This window comes from Homo sapiens, chromosome 21, assembly GCF_000001405.40.
Source record: "Homo sapiens chromosome 21, GRCh38.p14 Primary Assembly".
NCBI classification, from domain to species: Eukaryota; Metazoa; Chordata; class Mammalia; order Primates; family Hominidae; genus Homo; species Homo sapiens.
In genome coordinates this window covers 43,318,120-43,341,944 of record NC_000021.9, presented here as the reverse complement: position 1 = coordinate 43,341,944, position 23,825 = coordinate 43,318,120, and the positions used below count along the sequence as shown (strand labels likewise).

General features: G+C 57.0%; 1 protein-coding gene and 1 long non-coding RNA gene across 2 annotated transcripts, besides 5 other annotated features; both read left to right on the top strand.

The window, feature by feature from the left end:
• Positions 8,744–9,273: an enhancer, noted in NCBI's record as "H3K4me1 hESC enhancer chr21:44752552-44753081 (GRCh37/hg19 assembly coordinates)". NCBI's record gives its function as "activates a minimal SCP1, AML or CMV promoter by ChIP-STARR-seq in naive and primed H9 embryonic stem cells {active_cell/tissue: H9 hESC(naive and primed)}" and the evidence as "EXISTENCE:reporter gene assay evidence [ECO:0000049][PMID:30033119]".
• Positions 9,274–9,804: an enhancer, noted in NCBI's record as "H3K4me1 hESC enhancer chr21:44752021-44752551 (GRCh37/hg19 assembly coordinates)". NCBI's record gives its function as "activates a minimal SCP1, AML or CMV promoter by ChIP-STARR-seq in primed H9 embryonic stem cells {active_cell/tissue: H9 hESC(primed)}" and the evidence as "EXISTENCE:reporter gene assay evidence [ECO:0000049][PMID:30033119]".
• LINC00322 (long intergenic non-protein coding RNA 322) lies at positions 9,906–19,736 on the top strand. The gene is made up of 3 exons (NR_103713.2): positions 9,906–10,089; positions 15,705–15,786; positions 19,096–19,736. It is a non-coding gene; the product is annotated as a long intergenic non-protein coding RNA 322 (long non-coding RNA).
• LOC124905027 (putative uncharacterized protein encoded by LINC00322) lies at positions 12,080–13,726 on the top strand. Its single transcript, XM_047441057.1, has one exon. It carries the CDS (start codon positions 12,339–12,341, stop codon positions 13,245–13,247), a length of 909 nt encoding a protein of 302 aa, XP_047297013.1. The 5' UTR covers positions 12,080–12,338; the 3' UTR covers positions 13,248–13,726.
• Positions 12,289–13,175: an enhancer, noted in NCBI's record as "H3K4me1 hESC enhancer chr21:44748650-44749536 (GRCh37/hg19 assembly coordinates)". NCBI's record gives its function as "activates a minimal SCP1, AML or CMV promoter by ChIP-STARR-seq in primed H9 embryonic stem cells {active_cell/tissue: H9 hESC(primed)}" and the evidence as "EXISTENCE:reporter gene assay evidence [ECO:0000049][PMID:30033119]".
• Positions 12,596–12,758: a silencer, noted in NCBI's record as "fragment chr21:44749067-44749229 (GRCh37/hg19 assembly coordinates)". NCBI's record gives its function as "represses an EF-1alpha promoter that drives an FKBP-Casp9 reporter gene in an ReSE screen in K562 erythroleukemia cells {active_cell/tissue: K562}" and the evidence as "EXISTENCE:reporter gene assay evidence [ECO:0000049][PMID:32094911]".
• Positions 13,290–13,490: a silencer, noted in NCBI's record as "peak4418 fragment used in MPRA reporter construct". NCBI's record gives its function as "represses an SCP1 promoter by STARR-seq MPRAs in K562 erythroleukemia cells {active_cell/tissue: K562}" and the evidence as "EXISTENCE:reporter gene assay evidence [ECO:0000049][PMID:32103011]".
• Positions 19,737–23,825: the final 4,089 nt, after the last annotated feature.

The following is a 23,825-nucleotide window of genomic DNA, read 5'->3' as shown; positions in this document are numbered from 1 at the left end:
GTGCCACCACACATGGCACATGGCCCCCATGTGCCACCTTCACACCCCTGGGGCAGGCACGGCGCCTGCCTCACAGCCTGTGGGCACCCTGGCCTGAATTCCTGCCATGCTTCAAGTGCCACTCGGGCCACACCGCCAATGACCACAGCCAAGGGGCCACCATCCGCCGGGAACAGGGAGACGAGCAGGGGCTGGCCTGGCAGGCAGAACCTGTGGCTTCATGGGGCCACCGTCCCCACCAGGAGCTTCAGAGTATCTGCCTCTCCCTGACCTCTGGGGAGCCCCACAAGCCATGTTGGCTGCCCCCTGAAGAGCAGCTGATGACCTCAAATAGCAGGCCTCACGCCAGAGCCCCCCTCACCCCGGGCAGCCTAGGGCTGCCAGCTGGGGCAGTGGCAGCTGCCCGGGGAGCTGGGAGCCTTTGATTTGCGTCAGTGCTGAGCTGGCCAGGAGGGGCTCACGCCGGGTGCTCAGCAGCTACTGGGAGTCACGGTGACATCACAGCTCTGGGGATGCAGAGAGGGTCCCGCAGGGAGACAGGGGTGGCTATATGCAGCCCAGTGCTGAGCTCACACCCCTGTCTCCCCAGGAGCTGGGTTTTTAAAAGCAGTTTCCATGATACAAGCACCAGGTCAGTCCCCTAAGAGAAGGCGGAAGCTGGAGAATTGTCTCTCCCAGGACGGGCTGCCCTGACGGCCCCCAGCAGCAGTGGGCCGGCCACCCTGTGGCCACCAAAGGACTCCAGCTAATTGAGGGGCTTGGCAGGAGCCCTGGCCACGGCTGGAAACCTGCAATTTCACTGAAAGGGTCCTCAAAGGATACTCCTGAGAAACACAGTGGCCAGGAGGGGCGAGAAGAAGGTGCACTTCGTGGGGTCCCTACAGGGCGCTCCAGGGAGCGTCAGGCGTGAGTGCAGCACTTCCCTGGGAAAGAGCCGGGTTTGAGTCCAGCTATGTGACCCCACGTGTGTCTCCTCCCGACCGCCCTTCGTCACCGACCCCGCCCACCCAGGAACAGAAGATGTGAGTCATCTCTGACATTCCACGCTTTATCCTCGCAAAGGCCTCCCAAGAAGGCAGCTCCCCCAACCCCTCCAACCTACCTTGAGTCAGTCAACAGCCCAGGCACCGTCCAGGTGCCCCCGCCAGCAGGCTGCCCCCAACTCCTGGCAGCAACTGCCCCCGACAGCCTGACCTGCCTCCCTCAGCTCACCTCTGCAGACGCCCTCTGCTCCTCGGCTCAAACACCCCACCTCAGCTGATTGCTGAGCTCCAAGACGGCCCCTCTCCCCAGGCTGGAGGGCGCATGCCGGGGCCACAGCTCCTGGCCTGGGAAGGGGACTCTGCTGGTCATCGGGGCTGGCTTTAAACACTGAGGACAGACTGACTTGTGTTTAAAGACCCTGGGCAGAGCGTGCTCACTGGGTCCCATTCCCAGCCACAAGGAGAGCTGGGTGCCCCTGAGGTTCCTTGCTGGGGGTCCGTCCAGTCCCAGGCCAGGTGGGACCAACAACTCCACTGACCTGCAGCCCACTCGGGGTGCGAGGTTGGGAGCCCTGCCTAGAGGCAGATGCTGACGCCTTGGTCATCTTTGGAGGGCACCTCTCCCTCATCAGGGCCTGTCCCTCCTCCCCAGCCCCTGCAGCCCACCCCCACCTGGTGATGTCCCTGGACAGAGGTGCCGCCCTGACGGAGGAGGCCGTCCTACCAGGCGCTATCGTGTTGTCTCCCTAAGCCAGCCTGGCTCTTCACGGACCGTGCTCCAGGTGGAGAATTCCGGGTTCAGGGAGGCTGTGGTCACTCCTGGTCGCACACTCATGGGGGCAGAACTGAGATCCCCATGGGGCTTGTTGCTTAGTCCATGCCTCCCCAGCCCTGTGGTAACAGACGGCCAGACACTCAGCGGCTGGAACACGCAGATCGATTCTCAGGCTTCTGGAGGTCGATGTCCTGACCCAGCTCTCGCTGACGGAGATGACAGTGTGGGCCAGGCGGCCTTCCTCCTGCAGGCTCAGGGAGAAGCCACTTCCCTGCCTTTTCCTGCTTCCCGAGGCCACCCGCATTCCCTGGCTCACAGCCTCTTCCTCGGTTCCAAGCCAGCTGTGGGGGGCGGGGCCCTTGTGTTGCATCTGATGCTGGGTGTCCTCCCTCCCCTGCCCTCTGTGCTCACACCGGGCCTGCCGGGGAACCCAGGTGCCTCTCCACTGCCAGCCGGCTGGGGACCCGCCCCAGCTACCCTCTGCCATGTAAGGTGAGACATTTTCACAGCTCCCAGGATTAGGGCCTGGTCATCTTTGGGGCCACCACACTGCAGGTCATTCTCAACTAAGTTCTGGGGATGCGCACTCGTGTCCATCCTGATGGGCCGGGAGGGGTAGGCAGAGCGGCACGATGGAGACGCCTGGTTCCTGGAGCACTGTCCTTGTAGGCAGAGGCTGAGGGGAGGCTGCACTGCCCATTAGCGCCAGTGTTGATAGGGCAGTGGAGGAGGACACACTGGGATTGTTCATATAAAAATATGAGATTCCAAAGAAACGGTGGCTTTGTCAGGGCACCTGGGACACCTCCCAGATCTTTGGGGGTAGTTCACAGTCCCAAGATGAGAGTGTGCTCCAGGAAAGGGTGACCTGCCCCCAGATGGCTCTCACAGCCGTGTCCAGCAGGGGCTGGGGGTGGCAGCTACCAGTGTTACTACGGAGAAGAACAGGAGAGAAAGAGGTAGGAGGCAGCAGGAGGCAGCTGCAGAGGCGGCAGGAAGGAAGAGTGACTGAGGCTGCTGTCGTGCCAAGGATCCAGACCTGGAAGGAAATGGGGTCACACAGACCCTGGAAGGAGCTGGGGTCCCAGGGGAGGGAAAGTGCTGTCTCAGCCCCAGTTGGGCTCCACGCCAGAAACTCACACTTCCTTTCCAGCCACACCTGTGCAGTGAGGCCAGTTTCCTCCTGCCTGGGACAGTGCCCCCCACCACAGCCTGTGGCCCCTGCTGGGGTTTGTCCGGGCACCCCTGAAGCTCAGGAGTGGTGGACTCTCCGGAAGGAGCTGGTAGAGAAATGACAGAGTCCCACCCGCCTGCTTCTGCAGACCCTCCCGGGGTACAGGCACCCACTCTGGGCTCCCGTCCTGGAGTCAAGGGAACAGGAGAGGCCAGCCCAGGATGCAGTGAGGTGCCTCCTTGTCCCCTTGCTCTGGGGGTTGCTTTCTTTGGAGGTCATGACCAATGGACAGCAGGGGCTGGCGCTCCTCACGCCCATCCCATCAGAGGCTTCTGAGCTGGGAAACCAGGGAGCTGCTTTGGTGAAAATAGAATGGGGTGGGAGCAGGGGAAGGACAGGATGGGAATCAGGAGGGGATGGAGGCAGGGAGGCGGGCCATGCACAGGAGAGAGGAGCCAGCCTGGAAGTTCCCCACTGCCCTGGCGTGGCGTGGCGTGGCGTGGTGGGTCCCCGTGGCCAGGGGCTTTCTTTGCCCTCTCTCCAAGGCTCTCGGACACCAGAGTTCAGCCAGACCATCACAGCCTGGGGCAGTCAGGACAGGTTCTGGGGCCCGCAGCAGGTCACCCCTCCAGCATAGCACCTGGCCTATCTGATTCCCGGGATCTTTCCTGCCTTCTCACCACCTCTGGGTTCTGGAGCTTGCCCAGGCCCCGTCTGCCTGAAGCCTGGCTTTCCTGCAGAGCCCCAGGATAGGCCCCAGCCCTGAGTTCAGCCTGGACACTGCGGGCACAGGTAACGCCAGACACTTTGCCGTGGTGCTGGTCTTGCACAGGTGCTGCTGGGATTCCCTGGCTGTGTGTGCCATCCTGGCACACTGCAAGACAGACACCTCTCAGAGTCTGGGCAGGAAACAGATGGCCCACTCGTCAGGGGTGTTTGAAGAGATTTGTTTATGAAAAGAGCATTTTCAGAGGTGTCGGCAGGTTGAGGGAAAAACACCAAGGGGCCTGTTGTAGTGGAAGGCGTGACCACGCCCAGGACCAAGGAAGCAAAAGAAGGAAAGCTGTTGCCAGAACAGGGGTCAGAGCCCCGGGGAGGGGCCACCTGGCAGGAGGGTGTGCTCCTGGAGGGACGTGGTCAGAAGGTCCCTCCTGTCCTGTCTGTCCTTCCTGAATCTGATGTCCTGCCACCATCTTTGATTGGCTGAAGCCCCAAACAGAAGCCCAGAGGTGAAGGAGCCTAGAGGGAGAAGTCACCTGCCTAGCGGGCAGCTTTCAGAAGTGCAGTACAGGTGGCAGGAAGAGGGATGGAGAGAGGAAGTGGGGCAACCAGAAATATCCAGTCCTTACCCCCGAGAGTAGTAGCTAGGTGGTGGTAGTGATGGTGATGGTGGTGGTGGTGATGGTGGTGGTGATGTTGATGGTGGTGGTGGTGATGGTGATGGTGGTGGTGGTGATGGTGGTGATGGTGATGGTGGTGATGATGGTGGTGATGATGCTGCTGATGGTGATGGTGGTGATGGTGATGGTGGTGATGATGGTGGTGATGATGCTGCTGATGGTGATGGTGATGGTGGTGGTGATGGTGGTGTTGGTGGTGATGGTGGTGGTGGTGGTGATGGTGGTGATGATGGTGGTGATGGTGGTGGTGATGATGATGGTGATGGTGATGGTGGTGGTAGTGGTGGTGGTGGTGATGGTGATGGTGGTGGTGGTGGTGTTGGTGGTGGTGATTGTTGTGGTGGTGTTGGTGGTGGTGATGGTGATGGTGGTGGTGATGGTGATGGTCATGATGGTGATGGTGGTGATGGTGATGGTGGTGGTGTTGGTGGTGGTGGTGATGGTGGTGGTGGTGATGATGATGCTGATGGTGATGGTGGTGATGTTGATGGTGGTGATGATGGTGGTGATGATGCTGCTGATGGTGATGGTGATGGTGGTGGTGATGGTGGTGTTGGTGTTGGTGATGGTGGTGGTGATGGTGGTGGTGGTGATGGTGGTGGTGATGGTGGTGATGGTGATGGTGATGATGGTGATGGTGGTGGTGGTGGTGGTGATGGTGGTGGTGATGGTGGTGATGATGGTGGTGATGATGGTGGTGATGGTGGTGGTGATGATGGTGGTGATGGTGATGGTGGTGGTGATGGTGATGGTGGTGGTGGTGGTGATGGTGGTGGTGGTGGTGGTGATTGTCGTGGTGGTGTTGGTGGTGGTGATGGTGATGGTGGTGGTGATGGTGATGGTCATGATGGTGATGGTGGTGATGGTGATGGTGGCGGTGTTGGTGGTGGTGATGGTGGTGGTGATGGTGGTGGTGGTGGTGGTGGTGATGGTGGTGGTGGTGATGGTGGTGATGGTGGTGGTGTTGGTGGTGGTGATGGTGGTGATGGTGGTGATGGTGATGGTGGTGATGCTGATGGTGGTGATAGTGGTGGTGATGATGGTGGTGATGGTGATGGTGGTGGTGGTGGTGATGGTGATGGTGGTGGTGGTGGGGTTGGTGGTGGTGTTGGTGGTGGTGATGGTGATGGTGGTGATGGTGATGGTGATGGTGATGGTCATGATGGTGATGGTGATGGTGATGGTGGTGGTGTTGGTGGTGGTGATGGTGGTGGTGATGGTGGTGGTGGTGATGGTGGTGGTGATGGTGGTGGTGGTGATGGTGGTGATGGTGGTGGTGTTGGTGGTGGTGATGGTGGTGATGGTGATGGTGGTGATGGTGATGGTGGTGATGCTGATGGTGGTGATGCTGATGGTGGTGATGGTGGTGGTGGTGATGGTGGTGATGGTGGTGGTGTTGGTGGTGGTGGTGGTGATGGTGATGGTGGTGATGATGTTGGTGATGGTGGTGGTGATGGTGGTGGTGATGGTGATGGTGGTGATGGTGGTGATGATGTTGGTGATGGTGGTGGTGATGGTGGTGGTGGTGATGGTGGTGATGGTGGTGGTGTTGGTGGTGGTGGTGGTGATGGTGATGGTGATGGTGGTGATGGTGGTGATGGTGATGGTGGTGATGGTGGTGGTGGTGATTGTAGTGATAATGATGGGATGATAGTGGCGATGGTAGTGGTGGCAGTGGTGGTGTTAGTAATGTTCTCACTCTTGTAAATAAAGCTGGCCATTTTCTAGAGAAAGCTCATGGCATTTGCTATCTGCTTTCCAACCACCTGCAGAAATCATCATCCGTGCTCCCCATTTCAATCCTGATGGGGCTACCTGCATGATCAGGGGTGCACTGGACCCCAGGAGGTCAGCACTGGCTAGGATGAGTCCTGTCAGCCCTCAGCTCACTGTCCAGCCATGGCCCACACTGCTTTCACTGCATCCTTGTCTTTCCCCGAACCACTGACCACAGGCCACACACCCTCTGACCAGCTCTGTGCCCACTGCTGACCCATTGGCATTTGGGTTCCTTATGTGCCAAGGTCCCGATAAGCACTCAAAGGAAGTTGTCTCTGGTGGGGCTGCCCTCCCAGACCCCCTCCTGCCCTCTCCTACCCCAGCTGTGGTTCACCTGAGGACGTTCACTTCCTCTTCTTGCCCCTCAGCCCCTCTTGGGCCTCGCTCCCCTCCCCCAGAAGCACCACCTGGTCTAAGGAGTAGCTTCTCTGCCCACAGCCAGGAGGTGGACGGTGAGTCTCTCTTGACACAACTGGTGTCCCCAGGGTCGGGGGGTGCGTGCCTGCTGCTGACGGAGCGCCCATGACTGCCTGGCCTGCACACACTCACTCACTGCTCCCTGCCTCTGAGAGGTGCAGCCCCGGAGGGCTCTGTGTGATGTCACTCGATCACTCTACACCAGACTTTATTATTATTTTTTTGAGACGGTATCTCAGTCTGTCACCCAGGCTAGAGTGCAATCTTGGCTTACTGCAACCTCTGCCTCCCAGGTTCAAGCGATTCTCTTGCCTCAGCCTCCCAAGTAGCTGGGATTAGAGGTGCCTGCCACCACACCCCACTAATTTTTGTATTTTTAGTAGAGACGGGCTTTCACCATGTTGGCCAGGCTGGTTTTGAACTCCTGACATCAAGTGATCCACCTGCTTCGGCCTCCCAAAGTCCTGGGATTATAGGTGTGAGCCACCGTGCCCGGCCTACACCAGACTTAAGTACACACACACACACACACAAATATACATGCGTGCTGCACACTCCACAGACATACACACATCCACACACGCATAAACACACACTCACACAAGAACATACACGCACATACTGAACATTCATGCACAAACACACATAATATGCACTCACACAACACAGAGCACACGTACATAACATACAAACACATACGTATGCTGAACCACACACAAATACAAATGCATGCACACAATGCTCATGCATATACACATAACACACACACAAATCACACATGCATGCACCATGCTCACAAGCACATACAAACAACACACGTACATACACTCTCAAACGCACACACAGACACACCCCCGGCGTTTTTCCATCACGCTGAGGGTGGGGTGGAAGTGCCCAGGCTGGAAGCTGGGGGATAGGAGCCTTCTCATCTAATTTCTTCCTGGTTTCAGGACCTGGGCCACAGAAGCAGCCTCACCATCAGACTGCGGCCTTCCTGTGGTGGTCAGGGTTCCTGGGGGTTGGTGGGGCTTCTGCTGACAGAGAGAGGGACGTGAAGGCTCACGCATGACCAGCGTGTCTCCAGCTTCAGGAGACTGAGGAGGACTTTGAACCCTTGGGAGGACTCAAAATTGGCCCTGGAGTCCTGAGGAACTTTTTCCTACAGGGTGGGGACCATTGGGGGAGATGCCAGATAAACATTTGCAAGACTTTTCCTGGGTCTAGGAATTAAAAGAGATTTGTCAAGGCAGTGAGTACTCTCCATGGCTCCTGGGTGTCTCTGCAACCCCGCTCGCCCCTGGCCTCCGGACTGTGTCCCCAACTGCTTCCTTCAAGTGGACATCCAGTAAATGTCTCACGAGAGACATCCCTCCTGCCCTGAGTGCACAGCCGCTCCCGCCTCCCATCCCTGCACACGGCCATCCCCCTCTTGGGTGGTGACAGAGCCATCCTTCCAGTTGCTCAGAGTGAATCGCGTTCTCCTGGTTTCCAGGAACCCCATGAGCTCTGTCATCGGAATGCATCCGGAATCTGCCCACTTCCCTGCCTCGCTGGCCTGGATGACTGCACGAGACTCCTACAGTTTCCCATCCACCCCCGCCGCCGTCTGTGCTCCACGCGGAAGTCACAGCAGTCGAGGGAGCTCCACGCTGCTGGGCTCACGGCCTCCAGCGACTGTCTCCTGATCAAATGCCGCCAACAGCCAGGTGGAACTGTGACCCCCGGCTCCCGGCTGCCCTGTCAAAGCTCTCAGGCTTCCCTATACTACGAGATGCACTTCTTCCCCCTCCCTTTGCTCCCCCACTAGGGCATCCACTCCGCGTAGGTGCAGGCTTTGTCTGTTTTGCTCACTGGTGAGGAGGAGGACGAGGAGGCGGAGGATGACGCTGTGCCCAGCCCCGGCCTGCCCTGAGGAGGTGCTTAGTAAATATTTGTTGAGAGAATGAATGCATGGAATGCATTTCTATTTCCAGCCCCAGCCAGGCTCCTGGAAGCGCAGAAACAGGAGCAGATTTGCAAAGGAGGAGAAAGCCCGGACGTGGAGGGCTCGAAGTGGGCTTGAACTGCTGGAGGTGCTAAGAAACGGTTTCCTTCCTCCTCAGATCTCTCCGCAGTCTGCGACAGGCCAGGTTTCGCAAACAGCTCATCTGGCTGGGTTAAGAGGGGCCAGAGAGGGTCTGGGGTCGGGGAGGGAAGGCTGAGGCTCCAGCCTGTCCCTGCAGCTGCTCGGGTTCCAAATGCCTGGAAGCCTGGACTCGTTCCCACCCAGCCGAGGCAGGCTGCAGAGAGCTGACTCCTTTAAGCTGGCCCCGGCATTTACCCCAGAGCCACAGGTTCTGCCCCGGCTGCCCTGAGGCTGGCCTGGTGGGGGTGGCGCCCCCCCACCCCCCGCAGCGTGCCCCTCCCCTCCACACAAGCGAGCCCAGCCTGGCCCCCTCACAGTCACACGCCCCTTGAGGAGGCCCCTCCACGAGTCACAAGGCAGAGTTTCCATTGGCGTCAAATGTACGTGGATGCTGGATCTGGGACGGACAGGAGCCAAGAGGGGAGAAGCCAGTTTTAGAAAATTCACATGCCTGGGGGTCACAGAGGGCAGACCCCCAAGGGCACCGCATCCCCATGGTAGGGGTGGGAGTGGCCCTTGGGGCATAGACCCAGTATGTGTGCACACTCTCCCTCTCTGTCACTCCCACATATGCACATGCAAACACACGCAAACACAAACACACATGCACACAAACACACACAAGGAAACACACGCACACATGCACACACAAGCACACACTCATGCACACACGCACACAAAGCAAACACACGCACACACATGCAAACACACACACCTCATATCTCTGTCTACAGTGGAGACAGACCTCCCACATATATGGCAGGAGACAGGAGTCCGTGATTCCTGGGTCTGAAGTGCCTACGTGTGTACCCCACACTGCACAGTGTACGATGCCTGCTATGCTCCTGGGACAGCATGTGGGGCGGGGCCTCCCAGGCATGAGAGATGGAAGATACTCGAGTGGGCATGTGAGGCCCAGAAAGCAAGCGCGCTGCTCCGAGTGATGTCATTGTGTCTACAGTGCTGTCGGGCCCTGGTGATCTTCGCCTTCCCAGACAGTTTCCTCTTCTCTTCGTCACAAAACCCTGTTTGTTTTGTTTAAGAAAACCCGCCTGCTGACTCTTACGTAGTGTCATGTATTTTGTTGTCTGTGTTTCTAGGGCTGCTGCCAACCTCGGGGTGATCATGTGACCCCAAGGCTAGCCAGCAAGAGGACCTCATTCCTCCACCACAGACAGCAGGACAGGGGTGGGCATGGGGCCCGAGCCCACACAAAGCCCTGCCTGGGATTTTGCTGAAGACAGAAGCACCCTGACCCTCCAAGTTGGGAGTTTCGAGGACCCCCTGAACTTAGAGCTCCTGGGCCGTCTTTCCCTGAGAATGAAGCCAACACAGGCAGGATTGAGCTTAGAGTCTGAATTAGATGGTGCCTAGTGACCGCCTCTGAACTCCTGGACCCAGCTACACCTGAAGCCACTCTACCCCACATTTTCTAGGCAAGTCAACCTGCAAACGCCCTTCTTTTCTGAAATGAGCTTGGGTTGGGATTCTGTCACTTCAACCAAAAGGACCCCAGCCATGCAATGTTGCAATATCGAAGTAGGATGGTCTAGGCTTTATGAGTGGCAGACCGAGGCGGGGCAGGAAGATGGAGGCTTTCTGGCTCCCAACAGGTGGAAGAGGGGAGTCTCCGGGGTGGCCAGATACATCTACAGACTCACTTGCCCCTGGGCTGTTCTCCAAAACCGCCGTGGAGGTGGGACTCCGACCCATCTGAGCCTCTTCCTGACCTGGACCACCTGGGACAGCTGTGTTTACAGCATCTGGGCCCTTGAGCGTGAGTGTCCCACCTCCCCGTAGGATCAGGCCCCTGGGAAGGCAGGGGCCGATTCTCTTTCTTCCCTCTGTGGCAGTCCCCCCATCCCATCACAGAGCGCCATAGACGACAAGCTGTGGCCGTCGGTCTGGGGGTTCGAGCCCCCAGGCCCCACTCCACCCACTCCGAGGATTGGCTTGGTGGGGCCGGTGCTGGCTCCCAGAGGCTGCAGGGCTCTGGAAGGAAAGGCCTTCTGCAGAGCAGGGCCCCTGTAGCCTGGCCGCCTGACCAGCCTGTGGGGAGGGAGGCGGCGGTGGGAAGCCCCTTGCTCTGCTGGCGCCCCTCCCAACGCCCAGGGCCTCTTTACCCAGCATTTCTCTGCCGCTGTGACTGTGCCTAGACCTCGAGCTCAGAGAAAAGGCTGTTGCTGCCGGCTCAGCTGAAACCGCCTGGTGCTTTCTATAGAATCTTTGTGAGGAGCTATTATAGAAGGGACTGTTATCAAAGAATTAATTACGGAAACTAAGGACTGCACAAAAATAATTATTTCCAAACAATGAGTGTACAGCCCTGAGAATTCCAGTGGGAGTGGTGGCGATCTACCCGGGTCTGTGGGCCTAGCCTGGGGTCACCGTACGTCGTGGCCTGTCTCCCTTCTTCTCCGGATCCCCCACCCCAGGCCACGTGCCTCAAGGGACATCTGGGATGGAGGAAGCCAAGGGTCAGGCTGAATCCTTCCTCGCCAAACATGGACACGATGCCTGGCACCCCCACTGAGAGTGGTCTGTGGTCCTCTCCGGTGATCACTACAGTGTCTCTGAGATATCATTGTCCCCATTTCCCAGATGGGAAAACCGAGGCTCCAAATGGCTAAGAAACATGCCCAAGTGTCTGAACCTGCAGGCAGCGGGCTGGGGCTCAGGCCTCGGTCTGTGTGGCCTCCTTAGTCAGTGGGGAGTGGGTGTGAGGGAAGCCCAGGTGACACTGGCCCAGCAGGACACACAGGACAGCAGGTGCAGAGGAACCCGCACCGAGGGACCCCACCCACAGGCAGCAGTGGCATCTGCGGCAGGGAGATTTACCTCTGTGCTCCCCGCACTGTCCCATGAGTTGTCCAAGGACTGGGACCTGGGGTTGGGAGGGACACACAGCAGCCGTTGGCTGTGTTGCCATGACACGACAGAGGTTCCAGCCACTAGCACAGGCCGCCTGTCCTGGGGAGACAGTCCTATTTGTAACATCTATCTCAGCCTGAATCGGGGAGACAGTCCTGTTTGTGACATCTGTCTCAGCTTGAATCGGGGAGACAGTCCTGTTTGTGACATCTGTCTCAGCCTGAATTGGAGAAGGTTTCCTACAGCAGAAGCAGACCCAGAGCAAGGGCATCCCTGATTCGGGAGGAAGCTGGCGTGCCGAAGGTCACCAGCAGGCACTGTGGACCCAGCCTTTGAGCTTGGACCCCGCCTGGCCCACAAAGCCCCGTGCTGCTTCCCAGGGCCCACGCGCAGGTTCCCGGACCTCCAGCTGCACCCTGGAGGGGGTGAGGGGGGCTCACTGTGTGGCGTGTGCCAGGTGGAGGGGCTGGCGTGGGACAGAGGGATGGAGCTCGGGGGAAGACCAGCAGATCCCTGGACACACGGGGTGAGGCTGGGCTGTCTCAGATAGGCAGGACTAAAAGCAAGACAAGCAAGACAGAAGGGCTCAAGACTGGAGCAGCCAGGAAATTCTGTCCAAGCCGAGTCCCTGGGTTTGCGAGACTTCACGCCACCTCACAGGGGTCGTCTGGGGTTGTGGTCTCTGGCCAGGAGGGTGCGGGAGCCTCTTTCTTCCAGCTCAGCTCGTGCTACACCAGAAAGGGAAGGGCAAGAGCACCCCCTCAACCCAGAGGACCCCCAGATCAAGAGACCACCCAGGCTACAATCAACTCTGATGGCGCTTTTAATCACCCCAGCAGGAGTGGCGACTGTAAACAGACATTCAACAATTCCCAGTGACACACATACCTCCCGGGAAAAACCGCGTTTCCATAAACCTTGCAGAAACGACTTGGAGAGCTTGCTGAGCGAGGGCCGCCTGGACACCAGTGTGCAGACGCCGTGTCCTCAGCACCCCCACACTCAGCTGTCCTGCGAGCCCCAGCCCCTGGAACACTCCAGCTGCCTCTCCACTTGTCTGGCGGGATGTTTCCTCCCGGTGCCCTCATCACCCCACACCCACCCTCTTCTCCCGGGCTCCCGATGGCTCCCCCCACCACTTGCTCTGCTGATGGGTACACTCTCCCCAGGTCTGGCTGTGAAGCCATCCTGGGTGCCTCGGTTTCCCCTGCTGGCCAGGCAGTCACCAGCTACCTCAGTGGGAATGCCACTCTCTGCCGCCACCCAGCCTGGGTCAGTGGGACGCCTGCACTTTCCCAAGTTGCGTTCCTCCAGCCCTTTCTCTGGACACTCGGATGAGAACAAGGCTACTGGCCAAGGGCGTGAGAACAGGGATCAGCCTCAGAGACCATCCCATCTCTGTGAGTGTCCTGAAGCTGCCAAGCAAAGTGCCACCAACGGGGTGGCTGAGACCAACAGAAGTGTATTCCCTCTTGGTTCTGAGGCCAGAAGCCTGAGCTTAAGGCGTCAGGAGAGCCAGCCCCACTCTGGCAGCTCTAGAAGAGAATCCGTTTCTTGCTCTCCCAGCTTCTGGTGTTGCTGGCAACCATTAGCATTCTTGACTTGTGGCTGCGCTGCTCCCATCTCTGTCCCCGGGGTCACGCGGCCTTCTCCCCGGCCTTGCTGTGTGTCCCCTCCTCTTGTAAGACTCCAGTCACTGGGTTTAGGGCCCACACAAATCTAGTATGACCTCACCTTGACTTAATCACATCTGCAAAGGCCCTTCTTCCAAATAAGGTCATGTTCCCCATTTCTGGGTAGATGTAAATTTAGGGGAGCTGCTATGTAGCCCAGTGCCATCCTCCTACAAACCCCAGGATGGCCGAGGAATCCAGTCTCAACTGAGATGCATCAGGCTGCTTAGGATCAGAGCCCGGACCATACTGAGCACTCACATTCTCTCCTAATATTCTTTCAAGCATTCCAGCAACATCTATTCCTGGAAACCCCAGGTCAATCCCCCACCACCAGTGTTGCTGTTGCCTGGAGAAGAAAATGCTCCAGACCCCTCCTTCCCAGCCTGCTGGGTTCCCTCCAACCCAGGCCCAGCCCCCTTCTCCAGGGATTGATAAGACGCCATTTCCAGATATATTGTTAAGTGGCAAAAGCAGACGGCAGTACGTAGTGACACATCTTTTGTGTAATAAAGTGTAAGGATATGTATATGTGCGTGTTTATTTATAGATGCAAAAGAAAAGCACTGGAAAGATAAATCAGAAACTAATAAAAATGGTGACTTTACGTGTGTGTGGAGTTAGAAATGGAAGCTAGCTGCTCTGGAGATACTTGGCTTTAGTGTTTGAGTCCAGAACTATGTGAATGTTTCCCATATTCAAAACAATTTGAATTTGTTAAAATTTAAGTTTAAAAGAGAGCATCCTTAGAAAAGGAAACCAACAAAAGTGAAAATTTATATAGAGTTTGTAACATAACTAAAACAAAGACAAAATTATTTGAAGTAGTTTTACAGCACAGAATTTAGGCTTTTTTTTTTTAACTGGTGGCGCGTATTTTAAGGATAAAAAGAATGGCAAGGAAATCGTATGTATCATTCAGTAGGTCTTAGTGTTAGTGTTAAGTCTGGCATCGTTATTTAAATTTTTTCCTCTTCCAGGATAAAGCCAGTAAGTAATTATGTGAATGTTGTGAGGAACCAAAATTATTATTACTGAAAGAGAAAAAATTCACAAATATAAAATCCAATAGGTTAAGAGGAGCACTGTCATCTTAAATTTGAATTGGAAATGTTAACGTAATCTCATAACTTATTTATTCATTCTGATTGATTGATTGATTGATTGAGACAGGGTCTCACTCTGCCGCCCAGGCTGGAGTGCAGGGGCATGATCTTGGCTCCCTGCAGCCTGACCTCCCCAGGCTCAAGCCATCCTCCAGCCTCAGTGTCCTGAGTATTTGGGACCACAAGTATGCCACAATACCTGGCTGATTTTTGTATTTTTTGTAGAGATGAGTTTCACCATGTTGCCCAGGCTGGTCTCAAAACTCCTGAGCTCCAGCCATCCACCCGCCTCAGCCTCCCAAAATGCCGGGACTCCAGGTGTAAGCCACTGAGCCCGGCTGATCTCATGAAAGTGCTGGGATTACAGGCGTGAGCCATCATGCCTGGCCAGTCTCATGATTTGAAAACAAAATATGCATCTCCTAGTTCATGCCACTGAAAGGGAAGCTCTGGGAATGAAACTCGGGATCTGGCCTCCAGCCCTCCTCTTGCTGCTTGCTTGTCCCTGGAGTCAGGGGCATGTCTCCCACCACACAGAGGCAACACCCATGTGTCCCCAGTTGCACTGAGATACACCCAAGGGTGGTACCCACAAGGTGCACACACAGGGGACAGGTGACGTGCCTAACAGCAGCTAACCTGGTACACTGGTGTATGGGGGAGGGTGTAACGCCAACTGCGTTTTCCCCACTGACCTTGCCTGGACATCCCCCGCACTCTGAGACTCAAAACGTCTCTCATTCCTGATGTCACTGCTGACTGGCAGTGATGTCTAACTGGTCTCCTTCTCTCTTTCCCAGTGTTTTCCTGCCAACAGGAATTTAGATCTAAAGGCTTGGCGAGGTTCAGCTTCACTGCTGAACCAGAGGAATGAGATTCAGGTGGGAGATCCCGGGCAGTGGCTCCCCGGGCTGGCCTCTCTCAGGGCCTGGCCAGGGCTGCAGCTGCCCCACCCCAAGGTTCACCCCTCCCCAGTGTGGGGACTTGGAGCCTGACCTTGTCCCACTGGTAGGAGGGGACAGAGCAACGTTTTAAAGCAACAGGGGACATGAGGCATCTGTGGATTTCACTCAGATGTTTAGGAAATAACCTTGCAAGTGTGGAGATTCCTTTATGACAATATTCCCTACAAGTAATAAATCTATGATAGTGAAGAGTCGAAAACAACCCATATTTCCTAAAGCAGCACTGAAATAAGGCCATGTCAGAAAGGAATATTTAATGACATAGAGAAATGCTCTGATACATTAAATTGAAAAGGGAAGTAGGTGTACAGGATGGCTCCAATTTATATTACACTCTATTATGAAAAATAAGCTGGAAGAAGAGACACAAACATTTGTCAGAACTGACATCTGCCGGACGGTGGAACGGAAGGTGATCGTCACTTTTGTTTCATAGGACTTTCCTGTATGACTGCATGGCTAATAGCACTTCTCCTCGACACCGGTGCTGTTCTCGGAATCCTATCTAGAGCTTACAGGTGAGTTGTGGGTATTATGATTGACACTTTGCAAAAGAGGAAACTGAAGTTTAAATATCAAGGCAGCCCAGCTGGTGAGCAGCTGAGTCAGGATCCCAGCCCGAGGCTCTGCAACAACAGCACCCTAGGGGCACCGTGGTGGCTTGGGGGCCTCTGCACATGCAGCTTCTGGGCCCCACCCTGAGGCTTCCAGTGGGATTTGTCTGGGTGTTGGGAACTCTAACCATGAAACAGCTCCTCTATACCCAGCCCCATGGGTGAAGAGTGAGGTCTGTTCCCCTTGGGCCCTGACAGTGCCCAGGCCAGGGGGCCAGTCCTGGGAGTGCCCGCCCAGCCCTGAGCCCCAGCAAGTCCAGCAGAGCCCATGGATGGTGGGGATCCCAGCCTTCCACTCACTGCATGCCTTGGGGTGAGCCTCGAGGTGGATCCAGCCCGGGGAGCCAGTGCCTGGGTTCTTCCACCTCAATCTCACTCTTCTGGTTAAGCACTGGCTTCTTCCGCTTAGGTCCCTGGGAATAAGAGACGCTTTAGATAGGGGATCACATTTTTGGTCTCTCTGAGCCCCGCCGGGTGCTTTCCATGGACTGTCTCCTTGCACCACCCACTTTACAGATGAGAGGACCTAGAGTGGGGACCTGGCCAGGGCCACATGTGGTGCAAGGACCAGGCAGGATCTGAATGCAGGCCTGTCCATGTTGAAAAGTCCTGTGAGCACCAACCGCAGTGGTGACCAGAAGGCAAAAGTAGCATTTGAAGCCAGGGATGTGCAGACGGAGGCCAGCGCCCAGGAGACTGGCCTGCACGTGGTGGCCTCAGCTTCCAGAAGGTCCTGTGGGCACAGGGCTCTTGGCTGACTCAGAGCTGGTGGACGCAGAGGTTAGCTCCCTGCCATGCACAGCCAGGCCCTGACCCAACTTTGGTCCCTGGGGACAAGAGGGGCTGGGAGAGCCCTGCCCACCCAGGGGGCAGGCAGTCACCCCAGCGTGGAGGCTGGTTCTGCCCTTGGGAGGTGGTTCCTTTGGCTGGACCAGAATGTCTGCAGATGATCAGGAGAGGGCCAAGGGTTGGGGGGTGCCCCATGTGCACCCTGAGAATTGCACCAGGCACAGAGAGCAACTTCAGCCCTCCTTGTGCAGAGCTGCAGCGTACAGTGCCAGCCCTCGCTGGCCCTCACACACACAGGATGCCCCAAACATGGCTTGAGGCCTTGCAAAACATTAGGAACCGGGATGTCTGAACCCTGTTGGCTTCCGCGGTGTCAGAGCCTCACCCCAACCAGAAGGCGCATCGGGGACGTGGTCATGCGGTGTCTCCCTGACCTGAGAGTGACTCGGGAGGCTGCAGTCAGACCCCGGCGGCCCGGCCTGCGGGGTGACAGTGCTCAGAGAGGGACCCTTCAGCTCCTCCCTGCCAGGGTGGGGGGGGCTCTCTTCTCTGGGAGCAGGAGGCCTGGGGGGCAGGGGTGGGGTCCCAGCAGCCTCTCCCCCAGCGGCATGGTGTATGGCTGCGGAAGCCCTGGGTCTGTTTCCTTGTCTGTGACATGGGGCTGATGGCAGTGCTTCCCCTGCTCAGGGAAGACAGAGGCACAGATGGGGAGAGGCGGCCAACAAGCCCAAGAGCACCAGAGCCACCAGGAGCTGCAGGAGGCAGGAGGGACACCCCTCAGCCTTCAGGGAGGGTGTGCCTCGATCTTGCTCTTCTGGTGTCCAGAGCTGGGAGAGAATACCTTTCTGTTGTTTTAAGCCACTCGTTCTGGGGCACTTTGCTAGGGAAGCCCAGGAAACTCGGTGAGCACGGAGCTGGAGCTGCTTGAATGACTCACAAGCAAGTACAAGAGGAGAGGACCCCAGGCATTCGGGGGAAGCTTTGAAAGACCCGCCTGCTCCCTCAGCAGGCAAAAGAGGTCTTAGGGAGGGGCTGAGGGGTGTCGGAACCAAGCTCGTGAACCTGGGGCTGAAACCGCAAGGCCCCAGCAAAGCCAGAGCCTGGGATGGGGAGCTGAGGGTGCAATCAGCTTGTCCCTGGGAAGGTGATGTAGGGATTCCCAGCCTCGCAACACATCCATCATCTGGGAGTTACCTAAACTATGTGGAAATGCAGATCTCCAGGCTCCCACAAGAGGTTTTGGGGCAGAGCCCAAATGGGTGCATTTAGCAGCTCCCGCCTTACTCGGATGCGGGGCAGACCCACTGCCCCTCCCAGTAGGTCAGCACGTCTGGGGTCACTGGGCCAGCACAATGCTCCCTTTTTCCCTGTGGCAAAGTGAATGTGGAGGCTGAGGCGGGTGCATGGCTGGCATCCACTGAGTGCCACCCTCCCAGCACAAGGTGGCGGATGCACAGCAGGTGGCCTGGCTCTGCCATGCAGGCACCTGGGGACATGGGCAGGCTGCAGCCGGGACCCGGGCACCTCGCAGGGACAGGCTGGGGACGCCTCCTCCACTCTCCCCAGCCCGTCCTCATAAAGCACCTGTGGGGCTCCTCCTAAGCCCAGGGAGACCCAGGCCCACATGGGCAGCATGTGGCTGGTGTGTCACTGCAGCCAGGAAAATAACCTGGGAAATGACTGAAAATGCAGCCAGGCTGCACTCCTGTGTGCCCGGCCACTTCTCAGAAGGAGGGAGGAGGTTCATCTCAGGCCGGCTCCCACGGGCAGCTGGAAGCCACCCAGTTCCACTGCTGACCTGCTGCCTGAATGACCGACATGTGGCCGTTCGGCTGCCAAGCTGGCTGGCTTCAAGTGCAAAGCTGGCTGAACAAAGCAGGCCATTACGAAGCAATACAGAAGGCATTTTCCCGCAAACAGGGCCAGCGGGCTGGCGCCGAAGGAGGCTGGCCATGTGCTTCAGGCAGCACATTCACTCTCAAGGTCCTGCTTAGTAGGCTGCAGCCCGGGATAGCATGTCTAAGACCTCCATGGCAGGGAGCAGATAGGGCTGAGTCAGGGTGGCTGAGGGGTCACGGTCTGGAGAGAACATAGACGCTCTGTACTGCCTTTGGGGCTCCACTCTCCTTGGCAGAAGGCTCCAAGAGCCCTTCCCACGCACAGGTCTCTCCCCTTTCCTCCACTAGCCCATCGCCAGCCATGCATTCATTCACTCGCTCATCAAACCTACAATGAGCATGTACTATGTGCCAGGCACTGTCCAAGGTGCTGGGGACACAGCTGAGAACCAGACACACTCCTGTCCCTCACTGGGACTCCTCTACCCCAGCCACATCTCCAGGGCTCCCCACAGCCTGCACCCACCACTTCGCTCCCTCCCCTCCCCGCCTCCCTGGCAGTCAGACTCGTACTTCTGTCCCACAGCTTTCCCAGCCTCCTGGCTGCCTCCCCATTTCCTCCCACACTGGTGATCCCCCGATGAAATCCTCCTGCCCTTCATCCTGTCTTGGCGTCTGCCTCGCGATGACCCTGGGCTCACAGTCTGGCCACTGCAGCTGAGTGTCGCACTGGCTCAGGTGTGGCAACACGGGGGTTGAAAGGCTCTGAACCAGGCACCAGGAGCCCTGCGCCCCAGGCCAGCCCTCCGCAAACCAGCTTTGTGTCCTCGGACAACTCCAGGCCCATCCTGGGTCTTGCTGTCTGGAGAGAGGAGGAAGCCGGCCACACTCTCCAAGAACATTCAGCCTCCGCACTGCATGGCCTCTGCTTGGTTTCTGGCTGGGCCCAGGGCTCTGCTTGCAGTGTGGAGCCGCAGTGGTGGGTCCCCATGCGAGCCCCCGCCACTGTCTGCTGTCATCACCGGCCCAGATGCCCTTGCCACACAGCACCATTTCCAACTGCGAAGGCCTCCGTGTGGCGCCTGTCGGGACAACACGGCCGGCACAGGCTGGGCTGGGGGAGAAAGGGTGCTGGGCAGCTCTGTGCCCTGCGACTTTGTGGGTCTGCTGGGCTGTCCTTGTCTTGAAAACATTGTATTTTTGACTCCTATAAAGTAGTGGAGATAAGATTGGCTCTGAAATGTATTATGATCCCTTGAGTAGAGCCAGGGGGCAGAGCCACCTCCCTGGTGGTTTCCATGGGCATCAATAAGAAACGCTGCCATTTAGTGGGGAAAACAAGGTATGTGGATAGGCTCATAGCCCATGGTTCGAAGCCCATGCCCCTCTCAAGAGGGAGCAGACCAGGGAGGGTGGCAGGAGCATCCAGCGAGGGTTAGGGTGCCCCACCGGCCTGAGCTCCTGCCTTGGAAGCACCCTGAAGACAGATCGTGGGGCCCTGTGGAGCTGGCCTGGGGTTGCCACCAAGGACTCGTTTTGAAAACGTCTCCAATCAAACAGCAAAGTTTTGGGGGTCCCTGAGCCTCAGCCAGGGTCAGTTGCCCGAGTCACACCTGCTGAGGCAAGCGTGCAGGTGCAGGCCCCACCCACAGGCACCCCCTTTTTGCCCACCCAGCTCCATCTCCCACCCCAAGGGGCGTTGCCCAGCAAGCGCCTCCCAGGGGGCACATCTGAGCTCCACCCAAGGCCCCCCCTTGGGCCCCAGAAGAGGAGGGCAGACCCAGAAGGGCCCCCAAAGAGAGGCCAGATGTGGTCAGGGGAGGGTCGGGAAGGAGGGACAGGCCTCCCACTGGGTGTTCCCCTGGCCTCATGGGCCCGAATCCTCTGAAGCCTCAAACCACACTGGAGCCACATGGCCAGTTCCAAGGGCAGTGCCTGGGATGGCTCTTGGGATGGCTCTCAGGACGGTGAGGCCTGGTGGCCTCCATCCTCTATGTGGAGAAACAGCTGAGAAGGACGCTCCTCTCTCAAGGCAGTGAAGGGGAGGAGGGGAGGTGCTGGGCAATCTGTTTCACCCGGCCTGGGCCCCAGGCTTGGGGGCCCTCAGTGACTCACTATGAAGGCATCAGAAGGGCCCCTGGGAGGGATTTGTGAATATGTCCCCAGGCCTTGGAGGAGAAAACACAAGGGTACCCTGAAGCCAACTCCTGGCCTCCACCAAGAAAAATGAGCTCAGAGAGCACAGCCAGCACAGTGCCAGGGCAGGGGCCAAAGGCCGGCTCAGCCTCTGGGAGGAAGGAGCTCAGGCGGTGGCCTCAGCTGAGACTGGGTGCTGGAAGCTCCAGGACCCAGGGGACCCCATCCTCAACAGAGGGGTCTCCAGAGTCAGAAACGCTAGGCAGCCTCTGCCACTCAGAGTGGCCTAGGGTTGCCAGGGCTGTGGAAGCGCTGACCCTGAGGGGTTCACGGGGACAGTGAGAACAGGGAATTGTCATGTGACCCAGGGCTGGGTGGAGGAAGTGCCTCTACCTGGCCATGGTGGCACAGGAGCCATTGGCGTGGGCAGAAACCCAGGGTGGGTAGTGGGCTGGGGTGCCTGGGCTCTCTTGGGGCCAGATGACCAGCTCACAACTGAAACTGATGGTGAAGCATTTCATCAGCCGGGGTGTATGAGTCAGCTCAGCCTACGTAACAAAGCACCACACTGGGGGGCTTGAACCTCAGAAATCCCTGACCTCACGGCCCTGGAGGCCAGAAGTCTGCAATGCAGGTGTGGTCAGGGCTGGCTCCTCCTGGGGCTGTGAGGGAGCCTCTGGTCCCCATCTCTGCCAGCTTCTGGCAGCCTGAGATGTTCCTGGAGATGGCCGTCTTCTCCCTGTATCTTCAGTTTGTCCTCCCTGGACATGCCCCTCTGTGTCAGAATCGCCCCTTTTGGTAAAGACGCCAGTCTTGTTGGGTCCAACCTGTGACCTCATCTTAACCTGATCTGCCAGGACTCTGTTTCCAGTGAAGGTCCCACTCACAGGTACTGGGGGTTGGACTTCAGCATCTTTTGTGGGGAATACCATTCAAACCATCACCTGGGGGAGGGGAAGCTGCAGGCCCCTGTGGGCAGGGAGAGTTAACCTTGCACCTGCAGGATGGGCCCCACCCTCCCAGCCTTGGCCTCCCCATGGCCATGTACAAGCATAAACTTGCATCTGGTTTTACGAGCTGGAAATTTAACATAGAATCCTTTCTGCCATTTCACTCTCTACATTAGGACCTGAAAGGACAAGAGCACTTTTTTTTTTCTGTTTTACACTGAGCTGATTCAAGTGGACACATTGCTGGGGTCAGCAGCAGCAGTGAAGTCCTTTCCCCAGCCTTGAGAACACACATGACTTTACATCCAGCCCAGCAGCCCCCACAAACCCCCAGGAACAGCCCAGGGAACCCTGTCCTTGGTTTCCTCTGGGGCAGAGTTTTCTGGAACCACACTGAGAAGACACTGAAAGCATTAGAGAGGCTTGTGCTCCCCGGATGTATTTTATTGTTTTAATATATAAATTGATTCCTTTAAAAAACAAGCCACAAATCTCATGGCGGGCCCTTTTACGTGCATGAGCTCTAATTACTTGATTTTTTGGAAGCGCCTGAAAAAATTATATTTCTAATTCCTCTAGGCCTGTCATGAAAGAGCCTTTTATAACTGCCGGGCTGTCCCTCCTGGGAATCAGACGCTGCGGTGCAGAGGAGGATGACGACAGGAACCGCTCTTCTCAGAAAAGGGCCTTGCAGCCCTGAGCGTTTCCAGCTCAAACAGAATGGATGCGTCCGCTAATGATGTCTGTCGCTATTTGCATCGTGGATGCATTTCCAGGGTTCGCAGGCCCTGGAGAAGGAGGAAAAGCTTCCCACCCTGTCATGCTCAGGATCATGTCGTCATCGTCCACAGCTGAGTCACATCGCCCGGAGCAGATGTGACTGGCCCCCACCCCCTCTGTGTGTACAGAGAGATGCTCTCAGAGGGTCGGGAAGCCAGAGCCTCTGAGCCCAGCTTGGAGCATGGCAAGCCACGCTGGCTGGAAACCCCTGGACACAGAGACTTGCTGAGGGTCCTGTCACCCTTCTCCCCATTCCTGTAACCTCCCGAGGCCGGGCATCTGTCCTTTATGGAATGGGCCTTTGCCAAGCGCTGAACTTGACTCTAGAATGTCACTGAGCGTGTCTGGCTGCGGGGAAACGCGCTCCCTCCCCCTGGGGTTTGTTAGAAAGAGTTCTGAAGCCTTGCAGAGGGTGTGGGTGGAAAGTCCTTCTGGTGGGGAAGCCAGGTGCAGAAAGCCTAAGCTGAGAGCGCTCAGGGGAGGCACCCAGCATCGGGTGCACGGTGGGTTACCTGGAGGTCAGGCAGCCACTGCTGGCGCTGCTTCCCCATCCCATGGTTTGGCTCGGTACAGCCCATCTTCAGCTTAGCCAGCGCATGCCCAGCTAACCCCCCTGGGACTTGCCCGGTGTCAGCCTAGACCCTATAGGAGCAAGAAGAAGAAAAGTCGTGACTCATGCACTTGGGGAGCTTATGGTGTGGGCTTTGCAGGGATGGACTCTGAGCAGCCAATGATCAAACAGGAGGGCAGTTTACATGTCAGTGTTTTACCCAGAGTCCTTGGGGCAATAAGGGCAGTGGGCAAAATTCTGCTAACTACCCCCAGCCCTTCCATCCTTCTTCCTGAATAACAAGAACCCCAGCTTTTCACTGGACACACTGCATTCAGATAAGAGACTGCATTCCTCACACTACATCAGGACTAAGTGAGGCATAGTCTATTGGCTGGAATGCAGAGGTGATGACAGGTACTCAGGCAGCCACGTTGGACCATGAGACGGCAGGATCGATATGAAGGACTGTGAAGAGGCATGAAGCAACGAAGGGACATGGGGAAAGTCTGAATCCCTACTCTTATCGGAGCACGTCATAATATGAACTCCTTAATTTTAGCTGGATACAATTCCCATTCCCCCTCGCAGCCAGCTGTGACCATGTGCCTAAATTTTGGTGCCCAAATTTTAAGCAGAAGTGTTGTGTGCAACCTCCGGAAAGCATCCTTAACAGGCAGGACCATGCCCTCTGCTGTGCACTGAACTGTGTCCCCTGCAAATTCACATTGGAGCCCAAACTTCCCATGTGGCATGATTTGGAGATGGGGCTTTTGGGAGATAATTAGATTTAGATGAGGTCATGAGGGGGCCCTTTTGATGAGATTAGCGCCCTTTCAGAAGAGGAAGAGGCACCAGGGCTCCCTCTCTCTGCCATCTGAGGATACAACAAGACAATGA

Coding starts and splice junctions, on each gene's coding strand:
- LOC124905027 (XM_047441057.1), top strand. CDS start 12,339: ATGGCGCTTTTAATCACCCCAGCAGGAGTGGCGACTGTAAACAGACAT.